Source organism: Homo sapiens, chromosome 17, assembly GCF_000001405.40.
Source record: "Homo sapiens chromosome 17, GRCh38.p14 Primary Assembly".
Taxonomy (NCBI): Eukaryota; Metazoa; Chordata; class Mammalia; order Primates; family Hominidae; genus Homo; species Homo sapiens.
In genome coordinates this window covers 37,393,943-37,414,303 of record NC_000017.11, presented here as the reverse complement: position 1 = coordinate 37,414,303, position 20,361 = coordinate 37,393,943, and the positions used below count along the sequence as shown (strand labels likewise).

The following is a 20,361-nucleotide window of genomic DNA, read 5'->3' as shown; positions in this document are numbered from 1 at the left end:
CCAAATTTGGAATAATCCATGAACCTAGCTAGTTATGTATGCTAATAAATCGTAAATCCTTGAAAAAATAGGAATTCCTGTGTCCATAATAAAAAATAAGTAAAAAAGTGAACAGATAAAGAAAATGCGGTACATATATACCATGGAATACTATGCAGCCATAAAAAAGTAATGAGATCACATCCTTTGCAGCAACATGGATGGAGCTGGAGGTCATTATCCTAAGCAAACTAACACAGGAAGAGAAAACCAAATACCCTCTGATCTCACCTACAAGTATGAGCTAAAAAAACAAGAACACATGGACACAAAGAGGGGAACAGAAACCAGGGCCTTCTTGAGGGTGAACAGTGGGAGGAGGGAGAGGACCCAAAAACTACCTCTCGAGTGCTATGCTTATTATCTTGGTGACAAAATAATTTGTACACAAAACCCCTGTGACAAGAAGTTTACCTATATAACAACCCTGCACATGTACCCCTGAACTTAAAATAAAAACTAAAAATGCTAACTAGTAAATGTGGAGAGAGCACTAGATTTGGCAGGGGGTGGGGGGGGAATCATCTTTTTGCAACCTTAATAGTAAAGATTGGGCCAGGCATGGTGGCTTATGCCTATAATACCAACACACTGGGAGGCCAAGGTGGGGGCATCGCTTGAGCCTAGGAATTCAAGGCTCCAGTGGGCTATGATTGTGTCACTGCAGTCCAGCCTGGGTGACACAGTGAGACCCCATCTCTTAAAAATAAAAAAAATTAAAAAATAAAAAACATATATATACACACACACAGAGACAGACAGTGCACATGCAAATGACAAAGCAGATGGAGTAAAAGGTTAACAAAAGGTATGTGGGTATTGTTTGTATTCTTATTCTTGCAACTTAAGTTTGAAATTATTTCCAAAAAGAAGTTTATTTTGGACACTCCCAGCATTAGAGCAGTCCACTTAGATTTCTCTACATGTAAAATGAAAGAGTTGAACTAGATGTGTCTGAAGACTCCATTCTCTCCTAAATTTATATTAGGAGTGTGATCAAAAAGTAAATTAGAGCTCCTTTAAGAAATTGTTCTGTCAGGCCGGGAGCGGTGGCTCACGCTTGTAATCCCAGCACTTTGGGAGGCCAAGGCTGGTGGATCACCTGAGGTCAGGAGTTCAAGACCAGCCTGACCAACAAGGTAAAACCCTGTATCTACTAAAAATACAAAAATTAGCCGGGCGTGGTGGCAGACGCCTATACTCCCAGCTACTCGGGAGGCTGAGACGGAGAATTGCTTGAACCCGGGAGGTGGAGGTTGCAGTAAGCCGAGATCATGCCACTGCACTCCAGCCTGGGTAATGCAGCAAGACTCCATCTCAAAAAAAACACGAATTGTTGAAGAGGAAACAACACCCAAAAAGTACTTTTCTGATTCTTCTCATTAGGATACTACTAAACATCTAACAATGGAATTTCTATTTCTGCCAAATCTCATATATTCAGAATCAGGGAAAAAGAGCAGTATAATTTTTTTTTTTTTGAGACAGATTCTTGCTCTTGTCACCCAGGCTGGAGTGCAGTGGCATGATCTTGGTTTACTGTAGCCTCTGCCTCCCAGGTTCAAGCGATTCTCCTGCCTCAGCTCCCGTGTAGCTGGGATTATAGTTACTCGCCATTACCCCCAGCTAATTTTTGTATTTTTAGTAGAGACGGGGTTTTGCCTTGTTGGCCAGGCTGGTCTCAAACTCCTGACCTCATGATCCACCCACCTCGACCTCCCAAAGTGCTGGGATTACAGGCGTGAGCCATGGCACCTGGCCAGTATAATTTTTTTATCCATAGTTATGGCTACTTGAATTTACTTCATACATACCCCATAATTCTCTAAATTATTCTACCGTGGTTTACTCTTAGAAACAAGTTCCACATCAAGGGGGAGGTGGGATGATCTTTCCTTTATCTTACCACTGACACATTTCTTATCAAGGTGCCTGAAACATGTTATTGGTCTAAACAGAAATCCCATGGCTTTTCTAGGTTTAACTACAGGTTAATCAGAATATGCCTGGTCCATCTCAGCCTCATTTTCTTTTTTTTTTTTTTTTCTTTTTTTGAGACAGAGTCTCACTCTGTCGCCCAAGCTGGAGTGCAGTGGCACAATCTCAGCTCACTGCAAGCTCCGCCTCCCGGGTTCATGCCATTCTCCTGCCTCAGCCTCCCAAGTAGCTGGGACTACAGGCGCCTGCCACCATGCCTGGCTAATTTTTTTTATTTTTTACTGGAGACGGGATTTCACTGTGTTAGCCAGGATGGTCTCCATCTCCTGATCTCGTGATCTGCCTGCCTCGGCCTCCCAAAGTGCTGGGATTACAGGCGTGAGCCACCACGCCCGGCTGCTTCATTTTCTTGTAAGACCCAGGGTCATATGTTTGTGTCATGTGTTCAATGGGTAATCAATATGTATTAATTGATTTTATTTTGATACTCATAATTCCCTTAGAATCAGAGTCAAAGGGCTTTATTGCCTAACTTCATCGTTTATTTTTCTTCCTTGATCAACTTCCACTCTAGTTTGCTATTAATAGTCACCTGAAGGCCGGGAGTGGTGGCTCACACCTGTAATCCCAGCACTTTGGGAGGCCGAGGTGGGTGGATCACCTGAGGTCGGGAGTTCAAGACCAGTCTGGCCAACATGGTAAAACCCTATCTCTACTAAAAATAAAAATAAAAAAAATTAGCTGTGTGTGGTGGTGCGCGCCTGTAGTCCTAGCTACTCAGGCGGCTGAGGCAGGAGAACCGTTTAAAGCCGGGAGGCAGAAGTTGCAGTGAGCCAACATCATGCCACTGTACCCCAGCCTGGGCAACAGAGGGAGAGTCCATCTCAAAAAAAAAATAATAATAAGTCACCTGAGACTTGTTCCCACTGTACTTACTGCTAAAGGAACCCAAACGGTCCATTCCCTAATTGGCAACGAGTGCTGCTTTGGTCTTCCTCAGCAGAGCTTCTTCAAGACTTCAGAACCGGCCAACACATACACCAAAGCTTGATGACTCCCTAGGAACAAACAAAAGTGGCACATGGATCAGAAAATCATTCAAAGGGACAAGATAAAGAGAAGATATGCAACATACTCAGCTCTGCCACATCTTAGCTTTGTAATGTTGAAAAATTATTCCACCTCTGAAAACCTGTTTCTTCCTCTGTAGTGGGTATAACAGTGCCTACCTTCCAAAGTTGTGAGAATTAAATGTTATAATCAAATATCATAATCCATATAAGTAATGTAGCATGGTACCTGGTCCTCTATAAATGCTACATATTTTTCTTTTTTATGAGGAAGGATCTGGGTCTATGGGGCACTGAGGGTGGCAGGGGCAAATGCTACATATTTCTAATAAACAACTGTTGGCTTTCTCTACTCAGCATCATTTCTCTCCTTAGCTGCCATCTTTATTTGGGAAACTGACCCTCCCACATTTCATGTGATACTGGTGGGGCTGCCAATCACAATACCCCATTCCCCACCCCTGACAAAAGCTAAAGCAACCAGGTCTCTTCTTCCAGAAATCTGGATCTTGAGTAAGACATGAAAGGACAGAAGGCAGTTGGAGCTTAGTTATTCACTAGAATTCATTCAAAGAATTCAGTCCATGTGCTCTGGCTGTTGAAATCCCTAGCCCCAGGTGGCTCAACTGTTTAACTCTTCTCTCATTTCTCTCTCTTTAATAAACTTTAATAAACTCAACTTTAATCATAAGACTGAACGAGTTTCTGTAACTGGAAACCAAAAAATCCTATCTATTACAACATACATTTGTTCCTCACTCTTTCAACAAGTACGTAACAGGGCCAGGCACAGTGGCTCATGCCTGTAATCCCAGCACTCTGGGAGGCTGACGTGGGAGGATTACTGGGACCCAGGAGTTCAAGACCAGCCTGGGCAACATAGGGAGACCCCATCTCTTAAAAAAAAAAAAAAAAAGTTAGCCGGGTACAGTGGCCCATGCTTATGGTTCCAGCTACTCAGGAGGATGAGGTGGAACGCTTGGGCCTAGGAGGTCGAGGATGCAGTGAGCCACCACTGCACTCCAGCTTGGAGGACAGACTAAGTCTCTTTTTCTTTTTTTTTTGGAGACACAGTCTGGCTCTGTTGCCCAGGCTGGAGTACTCATTGCAACCTCTGCCTCCCAGGTTCAAGGGATTCTCATTCTCCATTTGGTTCTCATTTTTGATTCTTGTGTCTTGTGCCTCAGCCTCCTGAGAAGCTGGGATTACAAGCATGTGCCACCACCATACCTGGCTAATTGTTTTGTATTTTTAGGAGAGACAGGGTTTCACCATGTTGGCCAGGCTGGTCTCGAACTCTTGGCCTCAAGTGATCCGCCCACCTCGGCCTCCAAAAGTGCTGGAGTGCTGGGATTACAAGTGTGAGCCACCATGCCTGGCCCAAAGTATCTTCTTTGAAGCAGAAATAAAATAATATTTTACACTAAGTCAAAAAATAATCCTTCTTCTGTACACTCACAGCTTTTTGTTTTTGTTTTTGTTTTTTTTTGAGACTAAGTCTCGCTCTCGTTGCCTAGGCTGGAATGCAATGGCACGATCTCAGCTCACTGCAACTTCCGCCTCCCGGGTTCAAGCGAGTCTCCTGCCTCAGCCTCCCAATTAGCTGGGATTACAGGCGCGGGCCACCAGGCCTGGCTAATTTTTGTATTTTTAGTAGAGACGGGGTTTCACCATGTTGGCCAGGCTGGTCTCGAACTCCTGACCTCAGGCGATCTGCCCACCTCAGCCTCCCCAAGTGCTGGGATTACAGGCATGAGCCACCGCACCCGGCCCACTCACAGCTTTTTATCTGGCATTTTTCACATTCTACTTTGTGAGTATTACTTCTGAATGTCTATTTTCCCCCACTTCTAAATTAAGTGAAAGCAGGCTGGGTGTGGTAGCTCATGTCTGTAACTCCAGCACTTTGGGAGACTGAGGCAGATGAATCTCCAGAGGTCAGGAGTTTCAGACCAGCCTGGGCAACATAGTGAGAACCCCGTCTCTACCAAAAATACAAAAAAATTTGCTTGGCGTGGTGGCGGGCGCCTATAATCCCAGCTACTCGGGAGGCTGAGGCATGAGAGTTGCTTGAACCAGGCAGGTGGAGGTTGCAGTGAGCCGAGATTGTGCCACTGCACTCCAGCCTGGGCGACAGTGCAAGATCCTGTCTCAAAAATAAATAATAAATAAGTGAAAGCAGAGACTATATCGGATACCTATCTGTATGCTTTTAAAATGCCAAGCATACAGGAGGAATACAATAAACACATAGTAGTGGACTAATAAATGTTAATTCTACAAAAGGTTAATTTATCTTTAGCTTTTCTGAAGTGATTTTTTTCACCCTGGTAATTTTTAGCTTGGAGAATAATTCATCACTAAGTGTGGGCAACATTTCTGCTAACGCTGCCATCAAAGAACTTTCCCTTTTTGGGGTGGGGTAGGTCTCCCTTTGCTGTCCTCTCAGGAAAAGTTGAGCTCTGAAGAAAAATGAGTCTAGCAAGGGTGTATTACGAACGCAGCAATCAAATAACTGCCAAATTTACTGAACTTTTTCAATTTGCTAGGTACCCGTGGGTACCAAGGTGTGGGGATTCTTTGAATCCTCACTCCCACACTTTTGGGGCAAGCTGCTTTTTCAAAAGCAAGCAAGCTCTGAAAGAGTATGTTACTTGCGCAGTGTCTTACAAGGGATAGCTGTGTCATTTCAAATACAGATGTCAAGGCTGGACGCAGTGGCTCACGCCTGTAATCCCAGCACTTTAGCAGGCCGAGGCAGGCAGATCACCTGAAGTCGGCAGTTCGAGATCAGCCTGACCAACATGTAGAAACCCTGTCTCTACTAAAAATACAAAATTAGCTGGGCGTGGTGGCGTATGCCTGTAATCCAGCTACTTGGGAGGCTGAGGCAAGAGAACTGCTTGAACCCGGGAGGTGGAGGTTGCGGTGGGCTGAGAACGCGCTGTTGCACTCTGGCCTGAGCAACAAGTGTGAAACTCCCTCTCAAAAAACAAAAACAAAAACAGACGTCCAGTAAAGGATGCACAGTCAATAGGGACTGATCAACACTCGAAAAAGCACAGTAGGAGGCCGGGTGCGGTGGCTCACGCCTGTAATCTCAGCACTTTGGGAGTCCCAGGTGGGCAGATAACCTGAGGTCAGGAGTTCGAGATCAACCTGGCCAACACAGCGAAACCCCATCTCTACTAAAAATACAAAAAATAGCCAGGTGTGGTGGCGGGCGCCTGTAATCCCAGGTACTCGGGAGGCTGAGGCAGGAGAATCGCTTGAACCTGGGAGGCAGAAGTTGCAGTGTGTTGAGATGGCGCCATTGCACTCCAGCCTGGGCGAAAGAAACGCCATCTCAAAAAATAAAAAAATAGTAGGGCCGGGCGTGGTGGCTCACGCCTGTAATCCCAGCACTTTGGGAGGCCGAGGCGGAAGGATCACTTGAGGTCAGGAGTTCGAGACCAGCCTGGCCAACATGGTGAAACCCCACCTCTGCTGAAAATACAAATATTAGCTGGGCGTGGTGGCCCACGCCTCAGGCACGAGAATCGCTTGAGCCTGGGAGGCGGAGATTGCAGTGAGCCGCGATCGTGCCACTGCACTGCAGTACAGCCTAGGAGAAAAAAAAAAAAAGGCAAAAAAGCACAATATTGCAGTCTGCAGAATCTTCTTTCTCCCCCTTTCACAAGAGACCACATTCTGACACCAACTTCCGTGGAAACACTGGCGCTAGCTCCAAACTAACAATCGCCAAATTCGAATCAGTTACCGGGAGAAGGAAGTGAGGCACTTCGCCGGGCAGGAGTCCACGTTGGGAGGAGGAAAGGCGCAGGCTCCCGAGTTGTGGAGCCAACGTTCAAATCCTTACGGGGTGGGACCGGCCTGGGCCAGTCATTTTACCTGCGCCTCAGCTCTAACAGGGTACTGAAATACCTACTTTGGGGGGCCTGCTAGGAAATTCAAATGGGCAACGCTGGTCAGGGGCATCTGGCACAGTGGCCATTCTTGGTAGAGCTACGCGCTCCAGGGCTGAGCGGGAAATGGCGAGGCCGGGGCACTGGGGCACCGCCCAGACGCGGGGCGGGCCCCCGGGGTCAGGCCCGGCCCCACACCGCCCTCCCCCACAGAGCGGCGAGGCCCGCCGCTGCCCGCCCGCCGGCCCGCCAGCCTGCCGCGTCAAGCCCGCCGCCGGGGCCCGCAGCCCGCGACTCCTCCCCCGCCGCACCTCGTGGCCCCCGCTTCTCCCTAGTCCCGCTAGAGGGGCTCGCGCTCCGCCACCCGCCCGCCCGCCCGCCCAGCGCTGCCTGGCGCCTCACCTCGCCGAGACCCCCTAATCCGCGCCAAAGAGCCGCCGGTCGCGCGCGCCTCCGGGCTTTGCGTGCGCGCCCCCGGGCGGCGCAGTGGCGAGCGCGCCGCGTGCCGCGCGCCCGCCGCCTCCGCCCCTCGGCCGTGGAGGCCCCCGCCGGGTGCTGAGCGCCCGCCACCGCCCTCTTGGCCTTTTCCCGGTCCCCGCCGCGCGCCTGCTGCTGTCCCCGTGCCCGAGGACTGGGAGGATGGGGCTGAGCCGCTTGCCTGACTTTTGATCCGACCAGTAATCACTTTGCCCGTGTGGCGCGTGGCCCGTTGCCTGAGGCTTCCTGGCGCGTGGGGCTGTTTGGTCCCCTCCGGAGTGCGGTGAGGCGGGCCGAGCCGGGACTGCCTGGGTTTGGGGATAACGTTCCCATCTCCACCCCTGTTGCAGCAAGGGAAATTGAGGCTGAGGGAACTGGGCCCAGGGACGGCGAGCCGTGGCGCCTCTCCAGTCCGGGCCCCGAAGGGCTGCTCGTGGATGAACCAGACTGATTTTAAGGGGTGAAGAGGGTGCGTTTCAATCAGATGCTCCTGGAACGTCGAAATTGTCTTCTTTGGAAAGAACCATCCCCTCTTTGGGCTTCAGAGGCCCAAATTGAGGCGCAATGATGAGAGGATGTGGTGGTCTACTCTGATGTCAATCTTGAGGGCTAGGTATGTCCCAAGATCTCTTATTACTGCTGTTAATGATGATTCTAATAGCTACCATTTGTCGAGTACTTATTGCATGCCAGACATTGCACAAAGCAGGTTACACATACGGTCTCATTTAAAACTTGTGAGGTAGGCACCTGTTGTTATCCCTATTTTCCAGGTGAAGAAATCTAGGCACTGACATAAATAACTTGGGATCACACTGCTAGGAAGTACTGGGGAAGGGAATTCAAACCATGGTTTATCTGAACTATATAACTGTTACATCTATTTAGAAGTCTGCCTTTGATAAATTTGCCCAACCTTTTTTTAGAATTCACTTACACTTTATGCCTGTGTGAACCCTTTCATTCTTTTTTGGTATATGCATAATACAAGTTCATTCCAAAAAAAAAAAAAAAAAAAAGCCCTGCCGGGCGCGGTGGCTCACGCCTGTAATTCCAGCACTTTGGCAGGCCGAGGCGGGCGGATCACAGGGTCTGGAGTTCTAGACCAGCCTGACCAACATGGTGAAATCCCGTCTCTACTAAAAATACAAAAAATTACGCGGGTGTGGTGGCAGGCACCTGTAATCCCAGCTACTCCGGAGGCTGAGGCAGTAGAATCGCTTGAACCCTGGGGGCAGAGGTTACAATGAGCCAAGATCTTGCCATTCCACTCCAGCCTGGGCAACGAGAGCGAAACTCTGTCTCAAAAAGAAAAGAAAAGGAAAGAAAAACCACCTCCCACCAGGTTAAATAAATAATTAACATTTTGGTATGTACCCTTCCAGACATTTTCCTATGCATCACATCAATAAATATATGATAGGATATTTTACATTTGATGTATCCTGAAGATTAATTCAACAAATGTTTAGTGAGTAGGCTTGTTGTAGGTGCTGGGAATTCAGCAGTGAACAAAACAAAGTCTCTGCCTCATGGAGCTCATATTATAGTAGGGAAGACTGTCAATAAGCAATATACACATTACTAAATGATAGATAATGCCCAGTAATGTGGCAAGTTTTATGGAAAAATAAATCAGGATAAAAGGATAAGAGTGATATGGGGATTCTCTTAGTTAGGGTAGATAAGGAAGGCCTCTTAGCTAAGGAGGCACATAAATATCTGATCATTTAATGAGAGAAGGAGCAACATGGATTTCTAGAGGGAAACTATCCTAGAAGAGAAGCAGCAAGTGCAGTGACCCTGAAATGGGGATTTGTTTGGCATGGAGAAAGGGCAAGACCAGTGTGGCTGGAGCACAGCAAATGAGAGAAATTAGATGGAAATCAAGGCAGATCATGTATCATCTGGTAAGGTTTGGATTTTATTGGGAAGTGACAGAATATGACGAAGGGTTGAGAGCAAAGGAGTAGCTTTGCTGTAAAAGGATCACTGTGGGCTGGGAGCGGTGGCTCACACCTGTAATCCCATCACTTTGGGAGGCCGAGGCAGGCGGATCACTTGAGGTTAGAAGTTCGAGACCAGCCTGGTCAACATGGTGAAACCTCATCTCTACTAAAAATACAAAAAAAATTAGCTGGGCATTGTGACGGGCGCCTGTAATCCCAGCTACTCGGGAGGCTGAGGTAGGAGAATCACTTGAACCTGGGAGGTGGAGGTTGCAGTGAGCCAAGATTGTGCCACTACACTCAAGCCTGGGCAACAGAGTGAAACTGCATCTCAAAAAAAAAAAAAAAAAAAAAATCACTGTGGCAGCTGTGTGGAGAATGGATGGTAGAAATATTAAAATTGCCCTTTGCCTGGTGAAGTGGTGTGTACCTGTAATCCCAGCTACTCGAGAGACTGAGGCAGGAGGATGGATTGAGCCCAAGTTTGAGACCAGTCTAGGCAACGTATCGAGACCCCCATCTCTAAAAAAATTTTAAATTGCTCTCTAAGGCATAAATTGTCCTTTTACATGGTAGTTGTTCAACAGATAGTTGATTAACATTAGTGTTTCACCTATAGCTGTACAGCTTTACAACCACTCTCAACTTCACATAGTGGAAGTGGGGTCAGTCATTTAGGACATATCTGTGTCTTTGTCATTGAAACTCAAATTTTGAGACTGGCTAAGGCAAATATCCAGATCTGGATGTCATGATTGTCAACAATGAATATCAGTAATCAGTGTTGTAATACTGTAGAAAAATTAGTCCCACATAATACTGAGATCTAGTCGTTAAAAACATAGCATTCAGGGGCCAGGCACAGTGGCTCATTCCTGTAATCCCAGCAGTTTGGGAGGCCAAGGCAGATGGATCATTTGAGGCCAGTAGTTCAAGATCAGCCTGGGCAACATGGCGAAAACCCATCTCTGCTAAAAATGCAACAATTAGCTGGGTGTGGTGGCGCATGCCTGTAATCCCAGCTTCTTGGGAGGCGCAAGAATTGCTTGAACCCTGGAGGTGGAGGTTGCAGTGAGCTGAAATCGCACCACTGCCCTCCAGCCTGTTCAACAGAGCAAGAGTCTGTCTCAAAAACAAAAAAACAAAAATCATAGCATTCAACTACCTGGAAATTACCCTCTCCCTTCAGTTGATGTTAGGCTCTACTTAGACCAATTTAGTCAGTGTGCTTAAGAAAGATGTGGAGAGGGCAGGACACGGTGCCTCACACCTGGGATCCCTGCATTTTGGGAAGCCAAGGTAGGCAGATCACTTGAGTTCAGGAGTTCAAGGAGGCATGAGAACTGGGCAACATGGTGAAACTTCGTCTCTACAAAAATTGCAAAAATTAGCCAGGTGTAGTGGCGCATGCCTGTAGTCCCAGCTACTTAGGAGGCTGAGGTGAGAGGATCACTTCAGCCCAGAGGGTTGAGGCTGCATTGACCCAGTATCACACCACTGCACTCCAGCCTAGGTGACAGAGTGAGACACTGTACCAAAAAAAAAAAAAAAAAAAAAGATGTGGCAAAATTAACATGCACAGTGAGAAGAAGGGTAACACTGATTACTGATTAAGGCAGTACTCCTCTGGGTTTTTGTCTTAAGTGGATGTGATAGTGGCATCACTTACACGACCAGCTGAAGGAAGAATAGATTTGGAGGAGAAATTGAAAGTTCTGTTTTGGATCTGTGTTTTGCATTCTGACTGGAAATGACAAATACAAGTCTACAGCTCATTGGAGGTGTCAGAACTAAAACTGTATAACTGTATTAGAATTGTTTATTTGGCTGTGTGTCTTACCTAGACAGACCTTGAGGACAGACACTGTTGTCTTTGTAACCTCAGTGCTCTGAAGTGTATCCTCAAATACTTGTGAAATGAGTAAGTAAAGGCAAAAGTAAAAATGAAGTCACTGGCTGGGTGCAGTGGCTCACGCCTGTAATCCCAGCACTTTGGGAGGCTGAGGCGGGCGGATCACGAGGTCAGGAGATCGAGACCATCCTGGCTAACATGGTGAAACCCCATCTCAACTAAAAATACAAAAAATTAGCCGGGCGTGGTGGTGGGCGCCTGTAGTCCCAGCTACTCAGGAGGCTGAGGAAGAAGAATGGCGTGAACCTGGGAGGTGGAGCTTGCAGTGAGCTGAGATCGTGCCGCTGTACTCCAGCCTGGGCAACAGAGCGAGACTCTGTCTCAAAAAAAAAAAGAATGAAGTCACTTAGGCAAAATGTAGAAGATACATACTCTATGCTTTCACTGAAAGTCTAAGCACCTGAATGTGACTTACAAGTAGGGTGACCATAATTTCTGATTTGCTGAGAATAGCCTGGTTTATATCTGTTGTCCCTACCTAAGTATTAATATTGCCTGGTTTCACTCTCAGTAAAGTCTCCATTTGTACAATAAATTTATATTGTCATTCTTTTTAGAAGGCCCTTCCAGATCTAGCATCTTCCTATATCTTTATCATCACTGCCCTATCTTAGACTCCATTTGCCAGCCAGGTGGACATACCTTCATTTCTCATATGCACTCTTAACTTCAAGGTTTTTTTTGCCAAGGTACTGCCTACCTCACTTAGACATCACTTCCTTAGGAACACTTCTCCTGACCCCCCAATGGCTGAGTTAAGTCACCCTCTTACATGTTCCCAGTACACCTTGTATTTAACCTGTCATAGCAAAGATGACTAAGTGCCTTGTTCCCTCACTAAATATCTCTGTAAAGGAACCCAAAAAAACACCTTTTGTCCTCTTTAAGCCATAAATTTATATTAATAATATCCAAATCCATGTTGAACCAGTATTTTTGAAGATTGACCTTCAGGATAAACTAATAGCACAATCTTCATGCCCTTTCATTCATAAGTAACTGAAAAGGTTGACTTTTGTACCAGGAACCCAACGAAGAAAACTTGTATCTTGTCAGGGTTGGTAACCTGGCTGCCATTGACTGAGACCAAAATATCCCAACAGTTTGTCCTCAGCTGCTAAGCTGCTGTGGTTAGAATCAAACGTAGAGTTTCTGGCCTGGTGCGGTGGCTCATGCCTGTAATCCCAACACTTTGACAGTCCTAGGTGGGAAGATTGCTTGGGCTCAGGAGTTCGAGACTAAACTGGGTGACTTAGTGAGAGTTCAACTCTACAAAAAAATCAAAAAATTAGCTGGGCATGATAGCACACGCCTGTGGTCCCAGCTACTTGGGAGGCTGAGGTAGGAGAATCACTTGAGCTCAGACAGTTGAGGCTGTAGTGACCGTGATTGTGCCACTTTACTCCAGCCTGGGCAACAGAGTGAGACCTCGTCTGGAAAAAAAAAAAAAAAGGTAAAGAGACAACCTACGGAATGGGAGAAAATATTCACGACCCCTACATCAGATAAGTGGACAAGGGCCTGAAAAGACATTGCTCAAAAGAAGACATGCAAGTAGCATGGGAGGCCGAGGCGGGTGGATCACCTGAGGTCAGGAGTTCGAGACCAGCCGGGCCAACCTGGTGAAACCCTGTCTCTACTAAAAAAACAAAAATTAGCTGGGCGTGGTGGCGGGCGCTTGTATTCCCAGCTACTCAGGAGGCTGAGGCAGGAGAATCACTTGAACCCAGGAGGCGGAGGTTGCAGTGAGCCAAGATCACACCATTGCCCTCCAGCCTGGGCAACAGCAAGACTCTGTCTCAAAAAAAAAAAAAAAAGAAAAACAAAAGAAAAAGACATGCAAATAGCTAACTGGTATGTGAAAAAAATGTTCAACATCACTAATCATCAGGGAAATGTGAATTAAAACTACCATGAGATATCACCTCACACCTGTCAGAATGATTATTATCAAAAAGCGAGATAAGCATTGGCAAGGATGTGGAGAAAAACCCTGTACACTGTCAGTGGGAATGTAAATTAGTACAGCCATTTTGGAAAATAGTATGGAGGTTCCTTAAAAATTTTTGAATGGAACTACCATATGATCCAATAATCCACTTCTGGGTATATATCCAAAGGAAATGATATCTGCATGTCAAGGTATCTGTACTCCCATATCCATTGCAGCATTATTCACCATAGCCAAGACATGGAAACAGCCTACATGTATGCCAATGGATGAATGAATAAAGAAAATGTGAGATATAGATACACACACACACACACACACAGACACACACACAATGGAATACTGTTCAGCCTTAAAAAATAAGGAAATCCTGTCATTTGCAGCAACATAGATGGACCTGGAGGACATTATGCTAAGTGAAATAAGCCAGGCACAGAAAAACAAATACTGCTTAATCTCACTTATGTGTGGCATCTAAAAAAGTCAAGCTTGTAGAAGTAGCAGAATGGTGGTTACCAGGGGATGAGAGAGAAAGAATTGGAAGATTTTGGCCAAAGGATACAAAATTTCAGTTAGACAGCAGGAATAAGTGCAGGAGATCTATTATACTATATGGTGACTATAGTTAAAAATATATACTTGAGGCCAGGCACTGTGGCTCACACCTGTAATCCCAGCACTTTGGGAGGCTGAGGCAGGTGGGTCATCTGAGGTCAGGGGTTTGAGACCAGCCTGGCCCACATGGTGAAACCCCATCTCTACTAAAAATACAAAAATTAGCCAGGCGTGGTGGTGCATGCCTGTAATCCCAACTACTCAGGAGGCTGAGGCATGAGAATCACTTGAACCCGGGAGGCAGAGGTTGCAGTGAGCCAAGATTGCATCACTGCACTCCAGCCTGGGCAACAGAGCAAGACCCTGTCTCAAAAACAAAAACAAACAAACAAACAAAAATATATATATGCTTGAAAATTGCTAAGAGAGTAGATTTTAGTTGTTCTTACCACACAAAAAAATAAGTATTTGCGGTAATGGGTATATATTTGAGGTAATGGATTTGTTAATTAGCTTGATTTAGCCATTCCACAATGAGTACATCTATCAACACATGTTGTACATCATGAATATACACAATTTTTATTTGCCAAAAAATGTTTAAATATGCCATAAGTAAATTAAATAAAATAAATTTCTTAGAACATTATTTATAAAAATAAAGCAAAAAACCAGATCTGTCCAAATATAACTAATAAACTGACTCTCATTATTTAACACTCAAGAGTTGGCTGGCATCAGGATTTTCATAATACCATGGCCATTAAACAGTTTTCGTGAATCCAGGCCTTCGTTACCCATCTCTTCTGCTTCTTCCTCACCTTACTGACTTCTTTCTCATGTACACAGAGTGCGGAATATCTGTCTCATGAGTCACCAGCCTTTGGGCAGAACCCAAAAAATTAGGTGAACTAGAAATATATTGTTGCTAAGTGGCTCGGTTTATCAGACAATTCTAAAATGCCTACTAGGCTGCCTAGCTGCATACTTTTCTGCCTAATGTACAGGACCTCCATCTTGTGACTGTCAAAACAGGCTCCTAAATTATTTTGCATCATTTGGTGACAGGCAGTCTATACTCTTGTGCAACCAACAGGTGCCCAATAAATGCTTGGAATATGCAAGGAACTTGGCATTGTTTAATATAATTGAAAAAGCAAGCATGGACTTTGAAACTTTCCTGAATTTGAATTCTGTCTCCACTCCTTATCACCTTTAAGAATTTAGGGCCTGGTGCGGTGGCTCATGCCTATAATCCCAGCACTTTGGGAGGCTGAGGCGGGTGGATCACTTGAGATCAGGAGTTCGAGACCAGCCTAGCCAACATGGTGAAACCCCATCTCTACTAAAAATATAAAAAATTAGCCGGGCATGGTGGTGCATGCTTATAATCCCAACTACTTGGGAGGCTGAGGCAGGAGAATCGCTTGAACCCAGGAGGCAGAGGTTGCCGTGAGCCGAGATCCCACCATTGCACTCCAGCCTGGGCAACAAGAGTGAAACTCCATCTAAAAAAAAAAAAGAATTTAGGGAAGTTATTATCTTCCTGCATCTCCTTTCTCCTCCTATGTAAAATGAAAATAATAATGTCTAATTCATAAGCGTTTCATAAGGATATGATGAAAGCCCGATGCAGTAGCTCACGCCTGTAATCCCAGCACTTTGAGAGGCTGATGTGGGTGGGTCACTTGAAGTCAGTAGTTCGAGACTAGCCTAGCCAACATGGTGAAACCCTGTCTCTACTAAAAATACAAAAACTAGCTGGGCATGGTGGCAGGCGCCTGTAATCCCAGCTACCCGGGAGGCTAAGGCAGGAGAATCGCTTGAACTCAGGAGACTGAGGTTGCGGTGAGCTGAGATCGTGTCACTGCACTCCAGCCTGGGCAACAGTGCCAGACTCTGTCTCAAAAAAAAAGCCCGGGCATGGTGGCTCACGCCTGTAATCCCATAATCCCAGCACTTTTGGAGGCCAAGGTGGGCGGATCACCTGAGGTCAGGAGTTCGAGACAGCCTGACCAATATGGAGAAACCACATCTCAACTAAAAATACAAAATTAGCAGGGCATGGTGGCGCATGTCTGTAATCCCAGCTACTCGGGAGGCTGAGGCAGGAGAATCACTTGAACCCAGGAGGCGGAGATTGCAGTGAGCTGAGATTGCACCGTTGCGTTCCAGCCTGGGCAACAAGAGCGAAACTTCGTCTCAAAAAAAAAAAAAAAAAAAAAAGTGATACCACAACAGCTAGAAGAGGAGGCCAAACTGTTTTTTTTTTTTTTTTGAGACAGAGTCTCGCTCTGTCACCCAGGCTGGAGTGCAGTGGTGCGATCTCGGCTCACTACAACCTCCGCCTACCTGGTTCAAGTGATTCTCCTGCCTCAGGCTCCTGAGTAGCTGGGAGTACAGGCGCGCGCCACCACGCCCAGCTAATTTTTTGTATTTTTAGTAAAGACGGGGTTTCACAGTGTTAGCCAGGATGGTCTCAATCTCTTGACCTTGTGATCCACCTGCCTCGGCCTCCCAAAGTGCTGGGATTACAGGAGTGAGTCACCGCGCCCAGCCCCCATTTTACATTTTTTTATTTGTGCCCACTGCCTTTTTTCAGAGGATGCAGTTAGCAATTTCAGCCACTGGATGGTGCAAATTCACAAGAGTCCAGTGAAAGTTCCTCAATTACGGTCCAAGGTGCACCTGTTGCTACACTGCACCAAGTGAAGGAGGGTGGGGTAAAGGAAAGACTTTTTGGATCTGAAATTTCAGTATAAACATGGATCGAAGTTCACTAGAAGTTCAGATTGAGGGAAATTTTTAGAATTTGATCACTGACAAATCAGGTCATTGAATAAGGAAAGACAAAAGAAAAGTGTTGTAATAATGAAGAGGAAGAGAAAAAGGAACAGATGATGAAATATGAGGGAAAATAAGTCTAAAGAGATGAATTCAAGTGTTAGCAACAATTATAGTATGACCCTTTACTGGTTTGCATCTCCCTGGTAACTGATAGCAACTTTGATATAAAAATAAAGCTTACTTCATTCTCTTCTAGAAAGTCAGCTATGCTACCCTTAGCTTATCCATTTGGTGGTGTGACATTATCAACAAATATTTTTAGTATCTGCTATGAACATGGTGCTTTGTTGATACAAAGTAATATAGAGATATACAAATTAACACAGATACTGGGCTTCAAGCAGAAGAACCAGTAAGTACATATAAGAAGATAAGTAATTGACTGGATTAAGAAAATGTGGCACATATACACTATGGAATACTATGCAGCCATAAGAAAGGATGAGTTCATGTCCTTTGTAGGGACATGGATGAAGCTGGAAACCATCATTCTGAGCAAATATCGCAAGGACAGAAAACCAAACATCGCATGTTCTCACTCATAGGTGGAAATTGAACAATGAGAACACTTGGACACAGGGCTGGGAACATCACACATCAGCGCCTGTCGTGGGGTGGGGGGATGGGGGAGGGATAGCATTAGGAGAAATACCTAATGTAAATGACGAGTTAATGGGTGCAGCAAACCAACATGGCACATGTATACATATGTAATAAACCTGGACATTGTGCACATGTACCCTAGAATTTAAAGTATAATACTACTACTACTATTACTAATAATAGGGAAGATAAGTAATTCAAGGCAACCTGAGGGCCATTGTGTCAACTCAGAAAATGGAATACTTTTTGAAAGTGGGAGTGGAGTATCAGTGGGATGGGGAGGAAGGGATCATAGGACTCTCAACCTGTCCAGGGCAAACAAAAAATAAAAAGATTTCTTCTGGCCTTTAGTCATAAGTACATGCAGCAACTCTTCCTTGGAAAATGGCTAGTTATGGACATAGACATAGGAAAAGTGCTCTAGGTCAGAATCTGCTGGGCAGTGATTAGAAAGCATCCAAAATATTAATAGGAGGGGGTAGGAGATATGAGGAAATAATGGTTAAGGCCAGTACCACTCCTGAAACCACCGTTGCACTAGCCTGGGAGTACAGAAAAGGAAGGATGTTAATGGCTTGTTCAGGCCTTTCAGAGATCCACAGTCCCAGGTCACTTTGATTTTTGAGATTATGGGTTTATCTAAAAAATGAAGAAATGGCAAAACAGAGATACAAAATATGTTTTATATTTTATTTATATTTATCTTTTTTTTTTTTTTGAGATGGAGTCTCACTCTGTCACCCAGACTGGAGTGCAGTGTCACCATCTCAGCTCACTGCAACCTCTGCCTCCTGGGTTCAAGCGATTCTCCTGCCTCAGCCTCCCGAGTAGCTGGGATTACAGGCATGTGCCACCACACCCAGCTAATTTTTGTACTTTTAGTAGAGACAGGGTTTCACCATCTTGGCCAGGCTGGCCTCGAACTCCTGACCCCAGATGATCCACCCGACTCGGCCCTCCAAAGTGCTGGGATTACAGGCGTGAGCTACCATGCCTGGCTGTTGTATATTTTAAGTGTTTCTGTTTAACAAAGTAATGCTTTTAATACACACGCAAATATGGCTGTTTACTTAATGTCATTCAGCAATAACTTAAAAAGTTTAAATTGGAGGTTTTTGTGAATGTACCTTCTTTGCCCTAAGCAACTACCTATCTTAATTTTTGGGCCTATCAAAAAGTATTGGGGTGACATCAACCCTTTAAAAAGGTGGAACAGCCTAGGCGCGGTGGCTCGCGCCTATAATCCCAGCACTTTGGGAGGCCAAGATGGGCAGATCACCTGAGGTCGGGAGTTCGAGACCAGCCTGACCAACATGGTGAAACCTCGTCTCTACTAAAAATACAAAAATTAGCCGAGCATGGTGGTGCATGCCTGTAATCCCAGCTACTTGGGAGGCTGAGGCAAGAGAATTGGTTTGAACCCGGGCGGAGGTTGCGGTGAGCCGAGATCACGCCATTGCACTCCAGCCTGGGCAACAAGAGTGAAACTCCATCTCAAAAAATTAAAATTTAAAAAAAGGTGGAACAGCTTCTAGTCACCTCTAAAACTTGAAAATAAACACAACTTCTTGAAATGTAGTAGTAATATATTAGCCAAGAAGAAGAGACAGATTTTTTTTTTTTTTTTTGAAATGGAGTCTTGCTTTGTCACCCAGGCTAGAGTGCAGTGACACGATCTCAGCTCACCGCAACCTCAGTCTCCTGAGTTCAAGCGATTCTCCTGCCTTAGCCTCCCGAGTAGCTGGGATTACAGGCGCCTGCCACCATGCCCAACTAATTTTTTGTATTTTTAGTAAAGATGGTGTTTCACCATGTTGACCAGGCTGGTCTCAAACTCCTGACTCAAATGATCCACCTGCCTTGGCCTCCCAAAATGCAAGGATTACAGGCATGAGCCACTGCACCCAGCCAAAGAGACAGATTTAAAGTGGTGTGAAGAATATGAAGTTTTGTATGTGTCTTTTTATTATATGTGTATATATATTTATAATGTCCATAAAGAGATATATTAACCACTGATTACATATTAACCAGTGTTAATGATTATCTCTGGGAAGAGAGATTAGGTATTACTTTTATTCTTTATACTTTTGAGTATTTTCTAAAAGCTTTTATAATGAGAATGTACTTTATTTATTTTATTATATATTTTATATATACATATTTTTTGAGACAGAGTCTCGCTGTGTCGCCCAGGCTGGAGTGCAGTGGCACAATCTCGGCTCACTGCAAGCTCCGCCTCCCGGGTTCACGCCATTCTCCTGCCTCAGCCTCCCTAGTAGCTGGGACTACAGATGCCTGCCACCACACCCGGCTAATTTTTTCTTTTTCTTTTTTTTTTTTTTAGTAGAGATAGGGTTTCGCCGTGTTAGCCAGGATGGTCTCGATCTCCTGACCTCGTGATCCGCCTGCCTCGGCCTCCCAAAGTGCTGGGGTTACAGGCGTGAGCCACCGCGCCCGGCCGAGAATGCACTTTAATAATTATAAAAACAAAGTGTGGTAGCTTAATAAGAAAGAACTTGCAATAGAAACAGCAAATAAGGCTAGGCACAGTGGCTCACGCCTGGACTTTTTACCCCAGCACTTTGTGAGGCCGACGCGGGTGGATCACTTGAGGTCAGGAGTTGGAGACCAGCCTGACCAACATTGTGAAACCCCATCTCTACTAAAAATACAAAAATTAGCTGGGTGTGGTGGCGCATGCCTGTAATCCCAGCTACTGGGGAGGCTGAGGCACGAGAATAGTTTGAACCCGGGAAGCAGAGGTTGCAGTGAGCTGAGATTGAACCATTGCACTCCAGCCTGGGCAACAGAGCGAAACTGCATCTCAAAAAAAAAAAAAGAAAAAGAAAAGAAACAGCAAATAATTCCACAGGAATAATTGGCACTTCCACAGAAACAGTGTTTTATCAAGTTTTGTATAACTTGGTCTATAATGGTGACACTAGAAATGGTGCCCAGCTCTGAAGTGATCTGCAGATCCACATCCCAAAGCCCACACAGGAGTTCTCCTTTCTCCTCTGCCATCTCTCCCATCTCTGTTTTTACAGATCTTCACTGGAAGGGAATATAGGACTTGAAGTTATTAATGGATTAGGGAGTCAGAAAATCCTCA

The 20,361-nt window shown here is 45.4% G+C and overlaps 2 protein-coding genes across 17 annotated transcripts in view, besides 1 other annotated feature; one reads left to right on the top strand and one right to left on the bottom strand.

The window, feature by feature from the left end:
* TADA2A (transcriptional adaptor 2A) overlaps positions 1-7,418 on the bottom strand; it is a 72,840-nt gene extending 65,422 nt beyond the window's left edge. For 6 of the 11 annotated variants that reach the window (NM_001488.5, XM_047436612.1, XM_047436610.1 and 3 more), the window contains exons 1-2: positions 6,808-7,080; positions 2,914-3,035 (exon numbers count right to left, since the gene is read on the bottom strand). In NM_001488.5, the coding sequence (NP_001479.4) occupies positions 2,914-2,938 (25 nt within the window). In that variant the 5' untranslated portion in view covers positions 2,939-3,035; positions 6,808-7,080. Of the gene's footprint in view, positions 1-2,913; positions 3,036-6,807; positions 7,081-7,354 lie in introns of those variants that run through there. The other 5 variants (NM_001166105.3, XM_017024982.1, XM_017024981.2 and 2 more) reach the window with 2 other exon arrangements.
* Positions 5,602-6,286: an enhancer, noted in NCBI's record as "H3K27ac-H3K4me1 hESC enhancer chr17:35768105-35768789 (GRCh37/hg19 assembly coordinates)". NCBI's record gives its function as "activates a minimal SCP1, AML or CMV promoter by ChIP-STARR-seq in primed H9 embryonic stem cells {active_cell/tissue: H9 hESC(primed)}" and the evidence as "EXISTENCE:reporter gene assay evidence [ECO:0000049][PMID:30033119]".
* The window catches only part of ACACA (acetyl-CoA carboxylase alpha), a 321,845-nt gene continuing 308,951 nt past the window's right edge, over positions 7,468-20,361 (top strand). For all 6 annotated transcript variants that reach the window (XM_011524701.2, XM_006721853.2, NM_198834.3 and 3 more), the window contains exon 1: positions 7,468-8,042. In XM_011524701.2, the coding sequence (XP_011523003.1) occupies positions 8,005-8,042 (38 nt within the window). In that variant the 5' untranslated portion in view covers positions 7,468-8,004. The remainder of the gene's footprint in view (positions 8,043-20,361) is intronic.